The sequence below is a fragment of the Homo sapiens genome, chromosome X, assembly GCF_000001405.40.
Source record: "Homo sapiens chromosome X, GRCh38.p14 Primary Assembly".
NCBI classification, from domain to species: domain Eukaryota; kingdom Metazoa; phylum Chordata; class Mammalia; order Primates; family Hominidae; genus Homo; species Homo sapiens.
Window position 1 is genome coordinate 40,933,466 of NC_000023.11, and position 18,179 is coordinate 40,951,644.

At 43.5% G+C, this 18,179-nt stretch overlaps 1 pseudogene, besides 2 other annotated features; it reads right to left on the reverse strand.

The window, feature by feature from the left end:
* Positions 1,480–2,422, reverse strand: RPS2P55 (ribosomal protein S2 pseudogene 55; annotated as a pseudogene).
* Positions 16,319–17,002: an enhancer, noted in NCBI's record as "NANOG-H3K27ac-H3K4me1 hESC enhancer chrX:40809037-40809720 (GRCh37/hg19 assembly coordinates)". NCBI's record gives its function as "activates a minimal SCP1, AML or CMV promoter by ChIP-STARR-seq in naive and primed H9 embryonic stem cells {active_cell/tissue: H9 hESC(naive and primed)}" and the evidence as "EXISTENCE:reporter gene assay evidence [ECO:0000049][PMID:30033119]".
* Positions 17,003–17,684: an enhancer, noted in NCBI's record as "NANOG-H3K27ac-H3K4me1 hESC enhancer chrX:40809721-40810402 (GRCh37/hg19 assembly coordinates)". NCBI's record gives its function as "activates a minimal SCP1, AML or CMV promoter by ChIP-STARR-seq in naive and primed H9 embryonic stem cells {active_cell/tissue: H9 hESC(naive and primed)}" and the evidence as "EXISTENCE:reporter gene assay evidence [ECO:0000049][PMID:30033119]".

The window sequence follows — 18,179 nt, forward strand, 5'->3', positions numbered from 1 at the left end:
ACCCAGCTTTTCCTGGCAAAGGTCCAAGACCAAACTGCATATTTTTCTAAGCTTTCTCTCTTTCAGTTCTTCTTTCCTTTCTCTCCTCCACCCCTGGCTTCCTGAAAGTCTGCCTCGGGATCCACATTATGTCTTTGTTTTTGCCAATAACAAATACTTCATTTACTGTTTTGAATAAACGCTGCTTTTCAGTTACTGGAGCGCTTGCTCCTTCTCTGAAAACACTGTATTGGAAGAATCAGATAAACCTCACTGATATTTTGATTGAAATATTTCTGCATTCTCTTCGCAGAATTCCAAGTATGTGGCAACACGCGTGTTTGGAGCCAGACTTCTGAGAAGATGCCCTCAATCACCCACAGCCTCTTTATGAGTTTTCCCCTCCAATGTGACTTCAGTTATTAAGATGTCCCAAGTGATTAGACTCACCAGCAGCCTCCTAAATACTCAGCCAAGGAAACCTGATATGGTGGGGAGAGGCTGTTCGGGGGAGATTACTTGGCAGTGGTAAAAGTCAGAAGCCTTATGTCTGCAGAACTTTGTTCACTTCTCAGAAGTCCTTTGACTGTGTGATATGAGGAAGTCACTCTAAATCTCATTGTCTCTTAACTGCAACACAGAGGCAACAATACCCCATTACAGGAACTCTGTGTGAAAAATATTACAAAATATTAACAAAATGCTTTGAATTCCTTGTATATTTCACCACGTTAGATCTAGCAAACTACCATCCCTCATCTGGGGCAGAGAATTGTTAAGTGTGGTTAGGCCAGCCAGAGGGCAGCCTCAGGCAAGTCCCTGTGAACTTACTAAGGCAGGGAGGGACAAGGGCAGGGGCAAGTTTGGGGTTGGTACAAACCCCTCCCTCTGGGCCTATTCCAGGAATCCAGGAATATTTCTCTAGCAACCTATTATTATTATTGTTGTTGTTGTTTTGAGATGGAGTCTCACTCTGTCACCCAGGCTGGAGTGCAGTGGCGCTATCTCGGCTCACCGCAGCCTCTGCCTCCCGAGTTCAAGCAATTCTCATGCCTCAGTCTCCCCAGTAGCTGGGATAACAGGAGCCCGCCACCATGCTCGGCTAATTTTTGTATTTTTTGTAGAGGTGGGGTTTCACCATGTTGGCCAGGCTGGTCTTGAACTCCTGACCTCAGGTGATCCACCTGCCTTGGCTTCTCAAAGTGCTGGGATTACAGGCGTGAGCCTCCGCGCCCAGCCAGCAACCCATTATTTTATACATCTGAGAGCTCATGATTTTCCACAATCCATTTCTTTCTTTCTTTCTTTTAAGAATCGGGGTCTCATTCCGTTGCCCAGGCTGGAGTGCAGTAATGCAGTCATAACTCACTGCAGCCTCAAACTCCTGAACTCAAGCAATCCGCCTGCCTCAGTCTCCCCAGTAGCTGGGATTACAAGTGTGCACCACCACACCTGGCTCAGAGGCTATATTTCTTTCTTTCTTTCTTTCTTTCCTTTTTTCACGCTTAATTCACTTTATTTTTCTTGTGTAAAAACCCTATGTTGTAGCCACAGCTGGAGCCTGAGTCCGCTGCACGGAGACTCTGGTGTGGGTCTTGACGAGGTGGTCAGTGAATTCCTGATAGGGAGACTTGGTAAATACAGTCTCCTTCCAGAGGTCGGGGGTCAGGTAGCTGTAGGTCTTAGAAATGGCATCAAAGGTGGCCTTGGCGAAGTTGCCCAGGGTGGCAGTGCAGCCCCGGGCTGAGGTGTAGCAGTCATCGATACCAGCCATCATAAGCAGCTTCTTAGGCACAGGTGCGGAGACGATGCCAGTGCCCCTGGGTGCAGGGATGAGGCGCACCAGCACAGAGCCGCAGCGGCCTGTCACCTTGCAAGGGACGGTGTGGGGCTTGCCGATCTTGTTCCTCCAGTAGCCTCTGCGCACGGGGACAATGGAGAGCTTGGCCAGGATGATGGCCCCACGGATGGCGGTGGCCACCTCCTTGGAACACTTAACACCCAGACCGACGTGGCCATTGTAGTCCCCGATAGCAACAAACGCCTTGAACCTGGTGCGCTGGCCGGCACGGATCTGCTTCTGCACTGGCATAATCTTCAAAACCTCATCCTTGAGAGAGGCCCCCAAGCAAAAGTCAATGATCTCTGATTCCTTAATGGGCAGGGAGAAGAGATATATCTCCTCCAGGGACTTGATCTTCATGTCCTTGACCAAGCGGCCCAACTTGGTGACGGGCATCCACTCCTTATCCTCGGCCTTGCCTCCGCGAGCTCCGCGGCCTCGGCCCCGGCCCCGTCCACGGCCGCGACCCCGGCCCCGGATGCCACTGCCGAAACCTCCGCGGAAGCCACCGCGGTTCCCCATCCCAGGGCCACCAGGGCCTCCGGACCCTCCTCGCTGCACCGGCGTCATCCGCCATTTGGTGTTTTCTCTGAAAAGAAGCTCTTTTTTTTTTTTAAATAACATCTTTTATTTGTATACAATTACAAATTACAAACTTGTTTTATTATGGTTTTTCTTATTTATAAAAAAATTTTTTTAGTCAACTTACTCCCTTTTATTTATTTACCAGTAGTTTGCTCTGACAGAATAAATTACAAACTATTGTTTTGCTTAATCCTTTTAACCACCATGTCAGGCACACAGATTGGAGGATATTAGCTCCCATTTTGCAGACAAAGAGAGGAAACACAGTACCCATATTTAGTGTAAGACAGCTGGGATATAAGCCTTGGGCTTCCATAGTCACAACTGCTTTTTTTCCATAACTTTGTAATACATCATTTGAAAGTAATCTGATTTCACAATGTTTTACAGCGTAAGAGTAGCATCTATAGCATCTCTTCTTGGAAGTTTACCTCTGGAGAGAACCAATCTAATTACCTCATAAGCTGGCACATTTTAAAGCAGTTACACCTCTAACTTGATTTCCCAGCTATGCTCGAGGGTCCCAGGAACCAAAATTGCAGCCAAACTGATCTGAAAGGAGCAGGGAATAGAATGGTCAAGCATGTCTCCAAGTTTAACCTAGGCCTGGGACATCCTCACCAACTGCTCAGATGGCAAGTAGGGGGCAACTAAGTGAAGGGAGTAGCAGGAAGACCCACTTGGGGTGGACACTGATGAAAAACACAAGCAGTATCAGACCCACTGTTTTCAGGATTAAAATCCCCAGATGCCCAGTTGCTGGTATACTATCTACTATGTCATTACCAGCAGGACAAAGGGTAATACTTATGAAGACTAGAATATGCAAGGAAAAAATTAAGCTGCCTGCCTGTCTGGGGCCTACAAAGCCAAACAGTGCTAATTTCATCCATGCCAAACACAGAAAATTGTTCATTCCTTCCTGATTTGGGTTTTAAGGAAGAGTGCTGATCATCAGAGAAACCAGGTAATTCTATCCTGAAGCCCAAGGGAAGAAATAGTGGCCATTTCCCAGTTATAGATGGTGCAGGGGGCAACACTATCTGCCACCATGAAGGGAAAAAGCTATCTTGGTAAGCTTTGGTCTTCACAGGACATGGAACCAGAGTAGCAAGATCAGGGCCTGCATGACTGATCCTGATTAAGAGCAGGACTTCCTCACATAAGGTACACAAAGGCGGGGCGCAGTTGCTCACGCCTGCAATCCCAGCACCCTGGGAGGCCCAGGCAGGTGGACCAACCAAGGTCAGGAGTTTGAGACCAGCCTGGCCAACATGGTGACACCCTGTTTCCGTCTCTACTAAAAATACAAAAATGAGCCGGACATGGTGGCACATGCCTGCAATCCCATCCGCTCAGGAGACTGAGGCAGGAAAATCACCCAAACCCAGGAGGTGGAGGTTCGGAGGCTATATTTCTTGTTGCTCAAGTTAATAAGGAGCCAGTGGAGTAGAATAATGATAGAGAGGCAACATAACATGGTGGTTAAGAATATAGATTTAGGAGCCAGATGCCCTGAGTTTGACACCTGTCTCTGCCATGTGATAGCTTTGTGACCTTGGGCAAGTTACTTAACTTCTCTGTGCCTCAGTTTTCTCATCTGTATATTCAGAATAATGTTATGAAGAGTAAGCAAGTTAATATTTGTAAAGGGTCTGTTTGGAACAGTGCCCGGAATATAGTGAAAGGAAAACATTGCCCTAATTCTGACATTTTTAATGTTATAAAATCTTTCTTGGAAATAATTAGGTAAGATATGACAAAGGATTGTTTGAGAAGATAGCCTTCTTGTCTCTATAGCATAAAGAATGTGGCGATGTGGAAAATAAAATATAAACATAGCAAAAATAAAATCAGCGAGGCCATGCGCAATGGCTCACACCTGTAATCCCAGCACTTTGAGAGGCCAAGGCGGGTGGATCGCTTGAGGTCAGGAGTTCGAGACCAGTCTGGCCAACATGGTGAAACCCCTGTCTCTACTAAACCCCATCTCTACTAAAACTATGAAAATTAGCCAGGCAAGGTGGTGCACACCTGTAATCCCAGCTACTCAGGAAGCTGAGGCACGAGAATCGCTTGAACCCGGGAGGTGGAGGTTGCAATGAGCCGAGATCACGCCATTGCACTCCAGCCTGGGCAACAGAGTGAGACTCTGTCTCAAAAAAAAATTAGGGAGCCCCCAGGCAGACCATCAGAATGACCCTGCTGGCAAGACGTCACACTGTGAAACAGTAACTCACTGATAGTTATGCTGTCTATAACTGAAGGGAAGGAAGAATGAGAGGGAAGGATGGAGGGAAGGAAGAAGGGAGGCAGAGATAGAGGGAAGGAAGAAGGGAGGCAGAGATAGAGGGAAAGAAGGGAGAGAAGAAAGAAAGTTCTCCGAGATTTTCATTTCTTTTTGAAGAATATAGATCCAAGATGTTTGGTGAGTTCCTGTTGAAATTTGGGAAGTGTGCCAGGTTGTATTTTCCCAAGATGACTGCATCAATGTGTGTATCCCACTCCACATACTCCACATACAATGTAGGGTCTACATTCCCTCCTCTGACATCTGGGCAGAGGCTGTGACTGCTCTGACCAATGGAGTATAGCGGAATGATATTAACATGACTTCCAAGGCTACGTTGTATAAAGGACACAGCTTCCACTGCACGCTCTCTCAGGATACTTGCTCTTGGACCCAGCCATCGCACTGTCTGGGCCACATGAGAGGACCACAGTGTGTAGATGTTCTGGCTGACAGCCAGCATCAGCCACCAGATATATGAGTAAGCCTTCAGAGGATTCCAGCTTGCAAATACTGAGTCTTCCCAGCTGAGGTCCAGACATCGTGGAGCAGAGACAAGCTGTCTCTGCTGTCCCTTCTCTGAATCCCTGATTCACAGAAACCATAAAAGATAATAAATGATTATTGTTGTTTTAAACCACTAAGTTTTGGAATAATTTGTTAGACGATGATAGATGACGAATATAGGAAGTCTATAAAAAGGTAGGGTGTGGTTTCTAGAAGAGAAGGACATCAAAGCATTCCCATGGTGAATCCTATTTGAGCCTTTGGGATCCATGCCATTGCGTATTTAAATCTTTCCCCCTTCGACCAGGCACTGTGGCTTATGCCTGTAATCCCAGCACTTTGGGAGGCCCAGGCAGGAGGATCACTTTAGCTCAGGAGTTTGAGACAAATCTGGGCAACATAGCATCTCTACAAAAATAAAAATAAAAAATTAGCCAGACACAGTGGCGCATGCTTGTTGTCCTAGCTACTAGGAAGGCTGAGGTGTGAGGATCACTTGAGACCAAGTGGGAGGATTGCTTGAGCCCAGGAGTTCAAGGTTACAGTGAGCTATGCTTACACCACTGCACTCCAGCGTGGGCAACAGAGTGAGACCCTGTCTCAAAAAAAACCAAAAAAACAAAACCCTTTTCCCTTTAGCAAGCAAACTTATAATTCATAAATTTTGTCAAATGAGCTATGCTTGATCTGAGTCACACTGGGAACCTCTGAACAGGTGCCATAGGTGGGAGTGCTGTAAGTCCCTCACAGAGATCAGGGCTCCCTGGCCCAGGCTGCCACCCAAAGACTTTGAGCAGGGCTGGGTGCAGGGACTCATGCCTATAATCCCAGCACTTTGGGAGGCCGAGGCAGGAGGATCTTTTGAGGGCAGGGGTTCAAGACCAGCCTGGGCAACATGGCAAAACCCATCTCTACAAAGAATACAATAATTAGCTGGGTGTGGTGGCACACACCTGTAGTCCCAGCTACTTGGGAGGCTAAGGTGGGAGGATCGCTTGAGCCTGGGAAGTCGAGGCTGCAGTGAGCCATGATTGTGCTACTGCACTGCACTCTAGCCTGGGTGATAGAGTGAGACCCTGTCTCAAAAAAAAAAAAAAAAAAAAAGGAATAAAGACTTTGAGCAAAGGAAAATTCTCATGAGAGTAATTATAAAGTGGCCTGGTGTCAGGAGCTTATCAAAAGCACAACCAACAATGTTCTGAACTTATCTCCTGTTATGTTGACTATAAGTGCAAACAAGAAATGTAATAAAACAAAATAAAAAATAACTAAAAGAAGATGCCAATCAATCCTCTGTTTTCCTAATTAAATATGCAAGTAATCCATATTTCATTTCAGATAAACTTTTTTTTTTTTTTTTTGAGAGGGAGTCTCACTCTCTTGCCCAGGCTGGAGTGCAATGGCGTGATCTCGGCTCACTGCAACCTCCACCTCCCAGGTTCAAGCGATTCTTCTGCCTCAGCCTCCTGAGTAGCTGGGATTACAGGTGCACACCACCATGCTCAGCTAATTTTGTATTTTTAGTAGAGACGGGGCCGTGTTTCACCATGTTGCCCAGGCTGGTCTTGAACTACTGACCTCAAGAGATCCTCCTCCCTTGGCCTCCCAAAGTGCTGGGATTACAGGCGTGAGCCCCTGCACCCAGGCCATTTTAGATAAATTAAAAAGTGAAAATTCAGGAATAAAATTTAAAACTACCATAACCCCATCGTCCAGAAATAACCACTCATAATATCTTGACATATTCTTTTTGTTACTTTTATTTTAATTGACAATTAATGAGGTACAATGTGATGTTATGATACATGTAAACATTGTGAAATGAGCAAATCAGGCTAATGTATCTATCACCTCACAAACTTACTATTTTGTGGTGAGAATATTTAAAATCTACCCTTTTTTGGGCCGGGCACGGTGGCTCACACCTGTAATCCCAGCACTTTGGGAGGCCAAGGCGGGCGTATCACTTGAGATCAAGAGTTCGAGACCAGCCTGACCAACATGGTGAAACTCCGTCTCTACTAAAAGTACAAAAATTAGCCAGGCGTGGTGGCAGGCACCTGTAATTCCAGCTACTGGGGAGGCTGAGGCATGAGAATCACTTGAACCGGGAGACAGAGGTTGCAGTGAACCAAGATCGCGCCACTGCACTCCAGCCTGGGTGATAGAGTGAGACTCAGTCTCTAAATAAATAAATAAAAATAAAAATAAAATCTACCTTTTTAGCAATTTTGAAATATACATTATTATTAACTGTAGTCACCATGCTGTGCAACGCATCACCAGAACTTATTCCTCCTGTCTGAAATTCTGTACCTTTTCCTAACATCTCCCCCTTCTCCACCCCCACAGATCCCAGCCTCTGATAACCACCATTTTACTCTCTACTTCTATGAGTTTGACTTTTCTAGATTCCACCTATAGGTGAGATTATGCAGTATATCTTGGTGTATTCTTTAAAGAAATATCAGTATTCAGATAATCTTTAAAGAAATAATATACAGATATATATACGGAGGTGACTGAAAAATATTCAGTTTCATATTCCACTTTCCTCACTTAACTATGTTTTTACATCTTTCCATGTCAATAAATATAGCTCTACTTCATTATTTTAATGATCAGAAAGTAACCCGTTGATGAAATGTACCATGATTAACATATTCAATTTCCCCTTGGAAATTTTGTCATTTCTACTTGCTTTCCATTACACAGCCTTGCAGTGAACATCTCTGCACACACATAACTGATCATTTCTTTATGATAAATTGCTAGAAGTAGAATTAGAAGATCAAAGGGTCAGAACCTTATAGATCTTTTAACAAACCATGCTACATTGCCCTCCAGAAAGGTTATGACAATTTACACATACACCAGCAGTGTATGAGAGTACCCATGCTAACACTCAGATTTATTATTTTTTAACTTAGCTAATCTAAGTTAAACATTATGTACATTGTTGTAATTTGCACCTTTAAAGGTGAACGTATTTTTGTTTTGTGTTTTGGTCATTTGTAGTTATCTGGGAGTTGCCTGTTTTATTCTTTGCCCTCTCATGTATATACAGTCGGCCCTTGGTATCTGCATGGTAGATGCTCAAGTTCCTGAGATAAAATGGTGTCATATTTGCATATAACCTACAACATCCTCCTGTATACTTTAAATCATCTCTAGGTTACTTAAAATACCCAATACAATGTAAATGCTATGTAAATAGTTGTTATACTGTATTGGTTTTTAATTTGTCTTCTTTTTATTGTTGTATTGTTATTTTTTGTTGGGTTTTTTTCCAATTTTTTTTTTACCCAAAGTTGGTTGAATCCACAGATACAGAACCCATGGATAGGGACGGCCTACTGTATATTTATTAATTGATTTGTAGAAACCATTTATATGGTAAAGATATTAGCTCCTTGGCTATCATAGTTCTTAAATGCTCATTTGTCTTTTTAAATTATTAGTGGTGTTTCTTTTCCTCCAAATTTTCTAAATAGAAAATACTTTTACACCTAGTGATGATAAACAAAAGCATCTGATATTAGTGTAAACCAGATATGCAAAAAGAGCTGGAGGAACAAAAGCCTCAAGGGAAGGTTGCCCTGGGTGATGCTCTTTGTACATTTCTATACATTTCAGATTTACTAAAATGAATAAATAACTTTTTTTTTTTGAGACAGAGTCCTGCACTGTCGCCCAGGCTGTAGTATAGTGGCACCATCTTGGCTCACTGCAGCGTCTGCCTCCTGAGTTCAAGCAATTTTTGTGCCTCAGCCACCCGAGTAGCTCGGATCACAGGTATGTGCCACCACACGGGGTTAATTTTTGTATTTTTAGTAAAGACAGGATTTTGCCATGTTGGCCAGGCTAGTCTCAAACTCCTGGCCTCAAGTGATCCACCTGCCTCGGCCTCCCAAAGTGCTGGGATTACAGGAGTGAGCCACGGTGCCCAGCCTGAATAAATAACTTTTATAATCTTAAAAAGTATTCTAAAGATTTTGTTTTTCTTAAGTGCAGGGAAATTTGTGTAATCTATGTGAGTGGAATGCCAGAAGCAAGAAAGAGAATGAGAGGGAAATACAATGAGAGGAATGAGAGGTAAAAGGTGAAGTTAAAAAAATAATGGGCAGGCCGGGCGCAGTGGCTCACGCCTGTAATCCCAGCACTTTGGGAGGCCGAGGCAGGCAGATCACAAGGTCAGGAGATCGAGACCATCCTGGTTAACACAGTGAAACCCCGGCTCTACTAAAAATACAAAAAATTAGCTGGGCGCGGTGGCGGGCACCTGTAGTCCCAGCTACTCCGGAGGCTGAGGCAGGAGAATGGCGTGAACCCAGGAGGTGGAGGTTGCAATGAGCTGAGATGGCGCCACTGCACTCCATCCTGGGAGACAGAGCAAGACTCTGTCTCGAAAAATAAATAATAATAATAATAATGGGCAAACATCATGTTGTATACCATAAGTATATACAATTTTTATTTGTCAGCTTAAATATATTAATTAATTAAATAAATAAAAAGAAAATAGGAACCAGACCACCAAGGACTTTGGATTTCCTGTTAGAGTTGCAGTCTATAGCCGAAGGCTTTTAGACAGTGAAGTGATCTGATAAGATCTGTATTTCAGAAATCTTTGGTTACAATAGAAAAGAGAAATTAGATTTTGGAATTAAGAAGCCATGTGTGATGGTATCAGTTGTTTATTGCTATCATAAAGTCATGTAACAACCACAAAATCTCAGTGATAAACAGAGTGTTTATTGCTTACATGTCTGGGGTCAACTGGAGGCCAGCTAAACAACCCTGCTCATCTTGGCTAGGCTCATCCACATCTGGGAGTGCTTGTCTATTGACTGATCTAGACTGCCATTTGCTTGTTCCAGACTGTCTTTTTAAGGATGTTTGTATGGCTAACAAGCTTGGAAGATAGAGGTGGCATCTCCCTCCAGAGTAAAGGGTAAGCATGCTCACCACCTATTATAAAAAATTTAGATTCCCTAACTCTAGTATTTTTCTCCTTTAATGCAATCCACTGTGTGTGCAGACCTTCATCTGAGCACATCCATATCACCATCATCAGACTTGGGGGACACAGGGAACTGATGTAAATGTGCTCATGCTTATACTGCTTGCTGTGTCATGAGTAATGAAATCCTTCGCCTTTGACCCAAGAGTCTCATGTTTTCTGTCCACATCCATGAAACTGTGACAAGTTATCTTATTAGCTTGTAAGTAGGATAAAATCTCAGACCCTTCACAGTTCTTGATGCTGGTCTGCTTCCCCTTCTCAACCATTGGATCTGTGAAGACCTTTCATAGCCATGTTCCCAGCACCAGGCACAGAGCTCAGTATATAACTGGCACTTCAGAAATATTTGTCAGTGAGGCTGGGCGTGGTGACTCACGCCTGTAATCCCAGCACTTTGGGAGGCCGAGGAGGGTGGATCACTTGAGGCCAGGAGTTCGAAACCAACCTGACCAACATGGTGAAACCCCATCTCTACTAAAAATACAAAAAATCAGCCAGGTGTGGTGGCAGGCACCTGTAGCCCCAGCTACTCAGGAGGCTGAGGCATGAGAACTGCTTGAAACCAGGAAGTGGAGGTTGCAGTGAGCCAAGATTGTGCCACTGCACTCCAGCATGGACAACAGAGCAAGACTCTGTCTCAAAAAAGAAAAAAAAAGGAAAGAAAGAAATATTTGTCAATGAATAAATTAATTATTATTTATTTGCTTTTCATTTTCAGTAGATAGGCTTGAAAATACCATTTCATTTGACATGGCCATCAATCTCCTGTCATTGTTACTCTAAATAAGCTTTCCTCTACCTCCTCAGTACTTGTTAAGATAGTGGTGTCCCAGCACTGGGATACTTGGGTATATCCTACTTTTTTTTTTTTTTGAGACGGAGTCTCGCTCTGTCGCCCAGGCTGGAGTACAGTGGCACAATCTCGGCTCACTGCAAGCTCTGCCTCCCGGGTTCACGCCATTCTCCTGCCTCAGCCTCCCGAGTAGCTGGGACTACAGGTGCCCACCACCGCGCCCAGCTAACTTTTTGTATTTTTAGTAGAGATGGGGTTTCACCGTGCTAGCCAGGATGGTCTCGATCTCCCGACCTCATGATTCACCCACCTCGGCCTCCCAGAGTGCTGAGATTACAGGCGTGAGCCACCGCGCCCGGCCCTGGTGTATCCTACTTTTTAAAGCACTCTGGAATGGAGCCCGATACAGGACTTCCTTATATCCAAAACAGCCATATATTGACTCTTGTGGATATTGTTTCTACTTTGCCGAAATTTATTTATATGTGGGCTTTGATTTCTTTATGAAAATTTTTCTCATAGACTTTAGAAAAGAAACTTGTAATGCTTCCATGTATACTTGTCGGTTGGATTCCCAACTATTTGTCAACTGAGCGGGTAAGCCCAGAATGAAGACGGGGGAAAATAAAAATAGGGAACCAACTAACTCAAAAGGAGAGAAATGAATAAATGTCAGGACAACTTGTCCATTCAACTGTATTGTGCAAGGTTTCTGCAGCTGTCTCCTCAGCTGCCAAAGTCTGGGTTAAAGTTCAAAGGGAAAACTCTCCATCCACATATTTTCCAATTTAAAAAAAAGTTAAAGTATTTGAAACTCAAATATTTTTATACATGAAAATCCAGGGGTGAATTTTAATAAAGCCTGTGGGCAGAACAGAAGTAATCCGGCTCTGATTTAAACATCATTAATGTTTAAACTGTATTAATTTTAAAACCTCAGCCCTGGCACACTTCGAAAGCCGGTCTTCCTCCTGCTAACTCTGGCAACAATCTCTGGGCTAAACGTGAGTCATAACTTGTGACACTGCAGACAGCATCTGTGAGGTGGGGTGTTTCACTTCTCACTTCGGCTCATGTTTCCTTGTGCTGATTGGGAAGTAAGGACATAAGAGGAAAGCAAATTGTGGGAATGAGGTTCTCCTAATTTCATTCAAAAGGCTCTAGGCTAGGAAATATTTAAAGATTTTTAAAAAAAGAACAGGTTTTTAAAAGTGAAACAGAGCTTCAATAAGTATTAAAATGCAGTAGATACTTAATGCCATAAAACTGTATACTTAAAAATGGTTCAAATGCTAAATTTTGTTATATATATTTTGCCACAATAAAAATGCAACAAATTAAAACCTATAAAACATGTTTAAATGTTTAAATTCATGGTGATATTTAAAAACTGGCCACCTTGAAAGATGTCAGGGGACCAATTCATCATCTGAAAACGGATAAAAAAGGGAAAAAATAAAACATATATCCTGCTTTTCCTTTAGAAACTGCACCACTAGGTAACCAAATAATAGATCGGGGAAGCATCTCTTTATAAAATTATCCAATTATCCCAACTAATAAATGAAATAAAATGATAGAATTAGATTATAATCATTTTGCAACACTCTATGAATTAATTGATCTAGGCAATGAGAATCAACCGCTGCTAAAATCACAAAAGGAGACACGACCAGACATTACATGTCTCAGAACTCAGCACCACTTATAGTCTTGCAAAAAAGATGGAAATTCAGTCTAATCAAACCTCTGGATCCAAATGACAATTTGCAAGAAAGGCAGGGAGCAGAATACATGTTGAAATGCACCATCAGTGTGTCATCAGCAAAATGCAGATTTTAGGAAACTATAGGTCAAATTGTCTTGTTCTTCAACAAGTAGAGAATAAAGAAAAGAAAGGGTCATAGACGGCCAGGGTGCGGTGGCTCACGCCTGTAATCTCAGCACTTTGGGAGGCTGAGGCTGGTGGATCACCTGAGGTCAGGAGTTCGAGACCAGCCTGACCAATATGGTGAAACCCTGTCTCTACTAAAAATACAAAAATTAGCTAGGCGTGGTGGCATGAACCTGTAGCCCCAGCTACTTGGGAGGCTGAGACAGGAGAATCACTTGAACCAGGGAGGTGGAGGTTGCAGTGAGCCGAGATTGAGCCACTGTACTCCAGCCTGGGCAACGGAGGGAGACCCCATCTCAAAGAAAAAAAAAAGTCATAGAAGAAAACTGTAGATTAAAAGAGATTTAAAAGATGAATCAAGTCCAGGCACGGCGGTTCATGCCAGTAATCCCAGCACTTTGGAAGGCCGAAGTTTGAGACCAGCCTTGACAACATGGAAAAACCCCATCTCCACAAAAAAAATATATATATACACATATATACGTATATATGTATATATACACATATATGAGTGTATATATGTGTATATATATTTATGTATGTATATATATTTATATATGTATATATATATTTATATATATATGCACCTGTAGTCCCAGCTACTTAACTTGGGAGGTTGAAGTGGGAGGATGGCTTGGGCCTGGGAGGCAGAGGTTGCAGTGAGCCAAAGTCGCACCACTGCACTCCAGCCTGGGCAACAGAGCCAGAACCTGTCAAAAAAAAAAAAAAATAGACAAATCAAACTTTTTAATGAGCATGGCACAACTAGAATGTCTAAGGATACACACTTGGGTGATAAAGCTGTAGAGAAGAATAAGGCAATGGTTGCTATAAAAATCAGGATACTGGCCATGGAGGGGCTTCCGGGGTGGCTAGCAAAGTACTACTTCTTGACCTGGATGGTAGTTATGAGGGTGTGCCCTTATAATAATGTGCTATTCTGTACTTTCTTTTTGTATGCTTTTCTGTGTTTTATAATAAAAATGGAGTTCAGCTGGGGCTTCTGGGATGAACTGTAGTCATATGAGTCACCCAGAACTGCTAACTGGACATGAACAGCTGGTCAGAGAGAAGGATGATGAGGGAACTGGTGAGCCCCCAGAGGTTACCTAACGGCCAGGAATTTGCCCAGCTATGTGTGGGCGGGTAAAACCTGAATTGTACCATCAGTTTGTGCCAGGACAGAGTTTTGAATTCCCGGCAGAAATGGATGGGAAAGGGCTCAGAAGTTGTTTTGAGTGTACCACATTTTAGTTCCTGGAATAGTTTAGTTCTTGGGCATTATAGCTCAGGCCAGCCAACTGCCAGCAAAACTTAAGCCTTCAACACTGTGCTGTTAGAGAGCTGCGAGTGAGGAAGTCCTAGCTCCAGAGACCCCATTTCATTACAGATAAATGCTGTAGCATCTTTATCAGCAATTCACAGTGCACTTAAAGCTGTATCAAAGGTTGCAGCCAGGTCTCCTTCCACCAAGAAATCTGGAGAAGGTGAAGACATTATTAAATAAATGATGCCAAAAAGCCTGGATGTAAGTCCCCAAAGAGAAGGCAGCATAAAATGTCAGAGTGGGAGAAACTGTGTGGTCTACCAAAGTAGACAGTACAATAGGTATCTGGTACAATCAGATACCAATACACAGCTATTAGAATCCTAAAATCCAAAGAAAACTGACAATACCAATTGCTGTTGAGAATGAGGAACAACGGTAATTCTCACTCATTGCTGACGGGGATGCAAAAATGGTACAGCCACTTTGAAAGACCATTTGGTCTTTCCTGCAAAGCTAAACATAGTTTTACCATACAATCCAGCAATTGTTCTCATAGGTATTTAACCAGCTAATTTGAAAGTTATGTCCACACAAAAACCTGCACACTAATGTTTATAGCAGCTTTTTTCATAATCACCAAGAACTGGAAGCAATCAAGAGGTGTTTTGATAGGTAAATATATAAACCAACTGTGGTACATCCATACAGTGAACATTATTCAATGATAAAAAGAAATTTGCTATCAAGCCATGCAAAAACATGGATGAATTCTAAATGCCTCTTGCTAAGTGGAAGCAGCCAGTCTGAAAAGGCTACATACTGCATGATTCCATTTTATATGACATTCTGTAAAAGGCAAAACTAGAGATAACAAACAGATCAGTGGTTGCCAAGGGGCCAGGAACGGGGAGGGTTGAAAAGTGAAGCACAGGGCAATTTGAGGACAGTGAAAATATTCTGTATGATATTATAATGGGGTTAGATGATATTGTGCATTATTCAAAAACCTATAGAACTTTATAGCACAAAGAGTGACAATGTATGCAATTAAAAAAGTCATTTAGAAGGTCAGGTGATTGCAAGATGGAATACAGAATATGACAAAAGAATCTAGCTGCATTACAAATGCATGAAATCATTTCACTGAAGGGGATAGGGAGGAAAGGTGCTGATGTATGTAACTTTGGAAATGAGTGGATACTGTAAGACCAGAGACGAAAGGAGCTGTATATAAACACTATACTCTAGTTGTTAAAGTTGTTTCCGATGAGGGTATGTGTTAACAATTCTAATCCTAGCCAGGCAAGATGGCCCATGACTGTAATCTCAGCAACTTGGGAAGCTGAGGTGGGAGGATTGCTTGCAGCTAGGTTGAGGCTAGGAGTTTGAGACCAGCCTGGGAAAATAGAGAGACTCTGTCTCTACAAAAGATTTTAAAAAGTAGCTGGGCGTGGCGGCGTGTGCCTGTAGTCCTAGCTAATCAGGAGGGTAAGGCAGGCAGACCTCTTGGGCCTGGGAGTTCAAGGCTTAAGTGAACTATGATCATACCACTGCTTTCCAGTCTCGGTGACAGAACAAATCCCTTTCTCTAAAAATAAATAAATAAATAAATAAATAAATAAATAAATAAATAAATAAATTCAACAACATTTGGGGCAACCGTCAACCATTAGAACTGCAATTTATTACCTACGGAAGGCTGGACCCTTTCAGGAGATCAGGGACAAGCAGGGAATGGTAAAGTTGAAAACGAGTGTATTAGTTCATTCTTGCATTGCTATAAAGAAATCCCTGAGACTGGTAATTTATAAAGAAAAGATGCTTAATTGGCTCATGGTTCTGCAGGCTGCACAGGAAGCATAGCAGCTTCTGCTTCTGGGGAGGACTCCGGAAACATACAATGATGGTGGAAGGCAAAGAAGGAGTGAGACATCTCACACGGCCAGAGCAGGAGGAAGAGAGAGAGTGAGGGAGGTGCCACACACCTTTAAACAACCAGATCTCATAAGAACTCCATCACGAGAACAGCACCAAAGGGATAGTGCTAAATCATTCATGAAGAATCCATCCCCATGATCCAATCACCTCCCACCAGGCCCCACCTCCAACATTGGGGATTACAATTCAACATGAGATGTGGATAGGGACACAGATCCAAACCATATTATTCTGCCCCTGGCCCCTCCCAAATCTCATGACCCTCTCACATGGAAAAATCCAGTTATGCCTTCCCAACAGTTCCCAAAAGTCTTAACTCATTCCAGCATTAACTCAGAAGTCTACAGCCCAAAGTCTCATCTGAGACAAAGCAATTCCCATCTGCTATGAGCCTACAAAATAAAAAACAAGTTAATTACTTCCAAGCTACAATGGGGGTATAGGCCTTGGGTAAATACTCCCATTCCAAAAGGGATAAATCGGCCAAAAGAAAGGGACTACAGGCCCCACACAAGTCTGAAACCCAGCAGGGCAGCTGTTAAAGCTTCAAAATAATCTCCTTTGACTCCATGCCTCACATCCAGGGCACACTGATGCAAGGGGTGGGCTCCCAAAACCTTGGGCAGCTCTGCCCCTGTGGCTTTCCAGGGCTCAGCCCACACAGCTGCTCTCATGGGCTGGCATTGAGTACCTACGACTTTTCCAGGTGCATGGTGCGAGCTGCCAGTGGATCTACCATCCTGGGGTCTGGAGGATGGTGGCCCTCCTCTTACAGCTCTTCTACGAAGTGCCCCAGTGGGGACGTTGTTTGGAGGCTCCAACCCCGTATTTCCCCTCAGCACTGCCCTAGTGGGGGTTCTCCATGAGGGCTCTGCCCCTGCAGCAGGCTTCTCTCTGGACATCCAGGTGTTTCATACATCCTCTGAAATCTAGGCAGAGGCTCCCAAACCTCAACTCTTGCACTTTGGGCTTCTGCAGGCTTAACACCATATGGAAGCCATCAGGGCTTATGGTTTGCACCCTCTGAAGCAGTGGCCCAAGCTGTACCTGGGCCCCTTTGAGCCAAGGCTGGATCTGGAGTGGTTGGGGCACAGGGAGCAGTGTCTCAAGGCTGTGCAGGGTGGCAGGGTCCTGGCCTGGCCCATGAAACCATCTTTCCCTCCTCGGCCTCTGGGCCTGTGATGGAAGGGGTTGCCAGGAAGGTCTCTGAAATGCCTTGGAGGCCTTTTCCCCATTATCTTGGATATTAGCACTTGGCTCCTCTTTACTTATGCAAATTTCTGCAGCTGCCTTGAATTCCTCCCCCAGAAAATGGGTTTTTCTTTTCTACTGCATGGCCAGACTGCAAATTTTCCAAACTTTTACACTCTGCTTCCCTTTTAAATATATGTTCCAGTTTCAGGTCATTTCTTGGCTCACGCATAAGAGCATAGTTGTTAGAAATAGCCAGGCCATATCTCGAATGTTTTGCGGCTTAGAAATTTCTTCTGCCTGATACCCTAAATCATCACTCTCAAGTTCAAAGTTCCACAGATCCCTAGAACAGGGGCACAATGCAGCCAACCTCTTTGCTAATGCATAACAAATGTGACCTTTGCTCCAGTTCCAAATAAGTTCCTCATCTCCATCTGAGACCTCCGTAGCCTAGACTTCATTGTCTATATCACTATCAGCATTTGGTCACAACAATTTAACAAGTCTCTAGGAACTTGTTAAACTTTCCCTCATCTTCCTGTCTTCTTCTGAGCCTTCCACACTCTTCCAACCTCTGCCACTTACCCAATTCCAAAGTTGCTTCCACATTTTCAGATATCTTTATAGCAGTGCCCCACTCCTTCGTACCAATTTTCTGTGTTAGTCTGTTCTCGCACTGCTATAAAAAAAATACCTGAGGCTGAGTAATTTATAAAGACAAGAGGTTTAATTGACTCATGGTTCTGCGGGCTGTACAGGAAGCATAGCAGCTTCTGCTTCTGGGGAGGCCTCAGGAAACTTACAATCATGACAGAAGGCAAAGGGGGAGTGAGACATCTCACATGGCCAGAGCAGGAGGA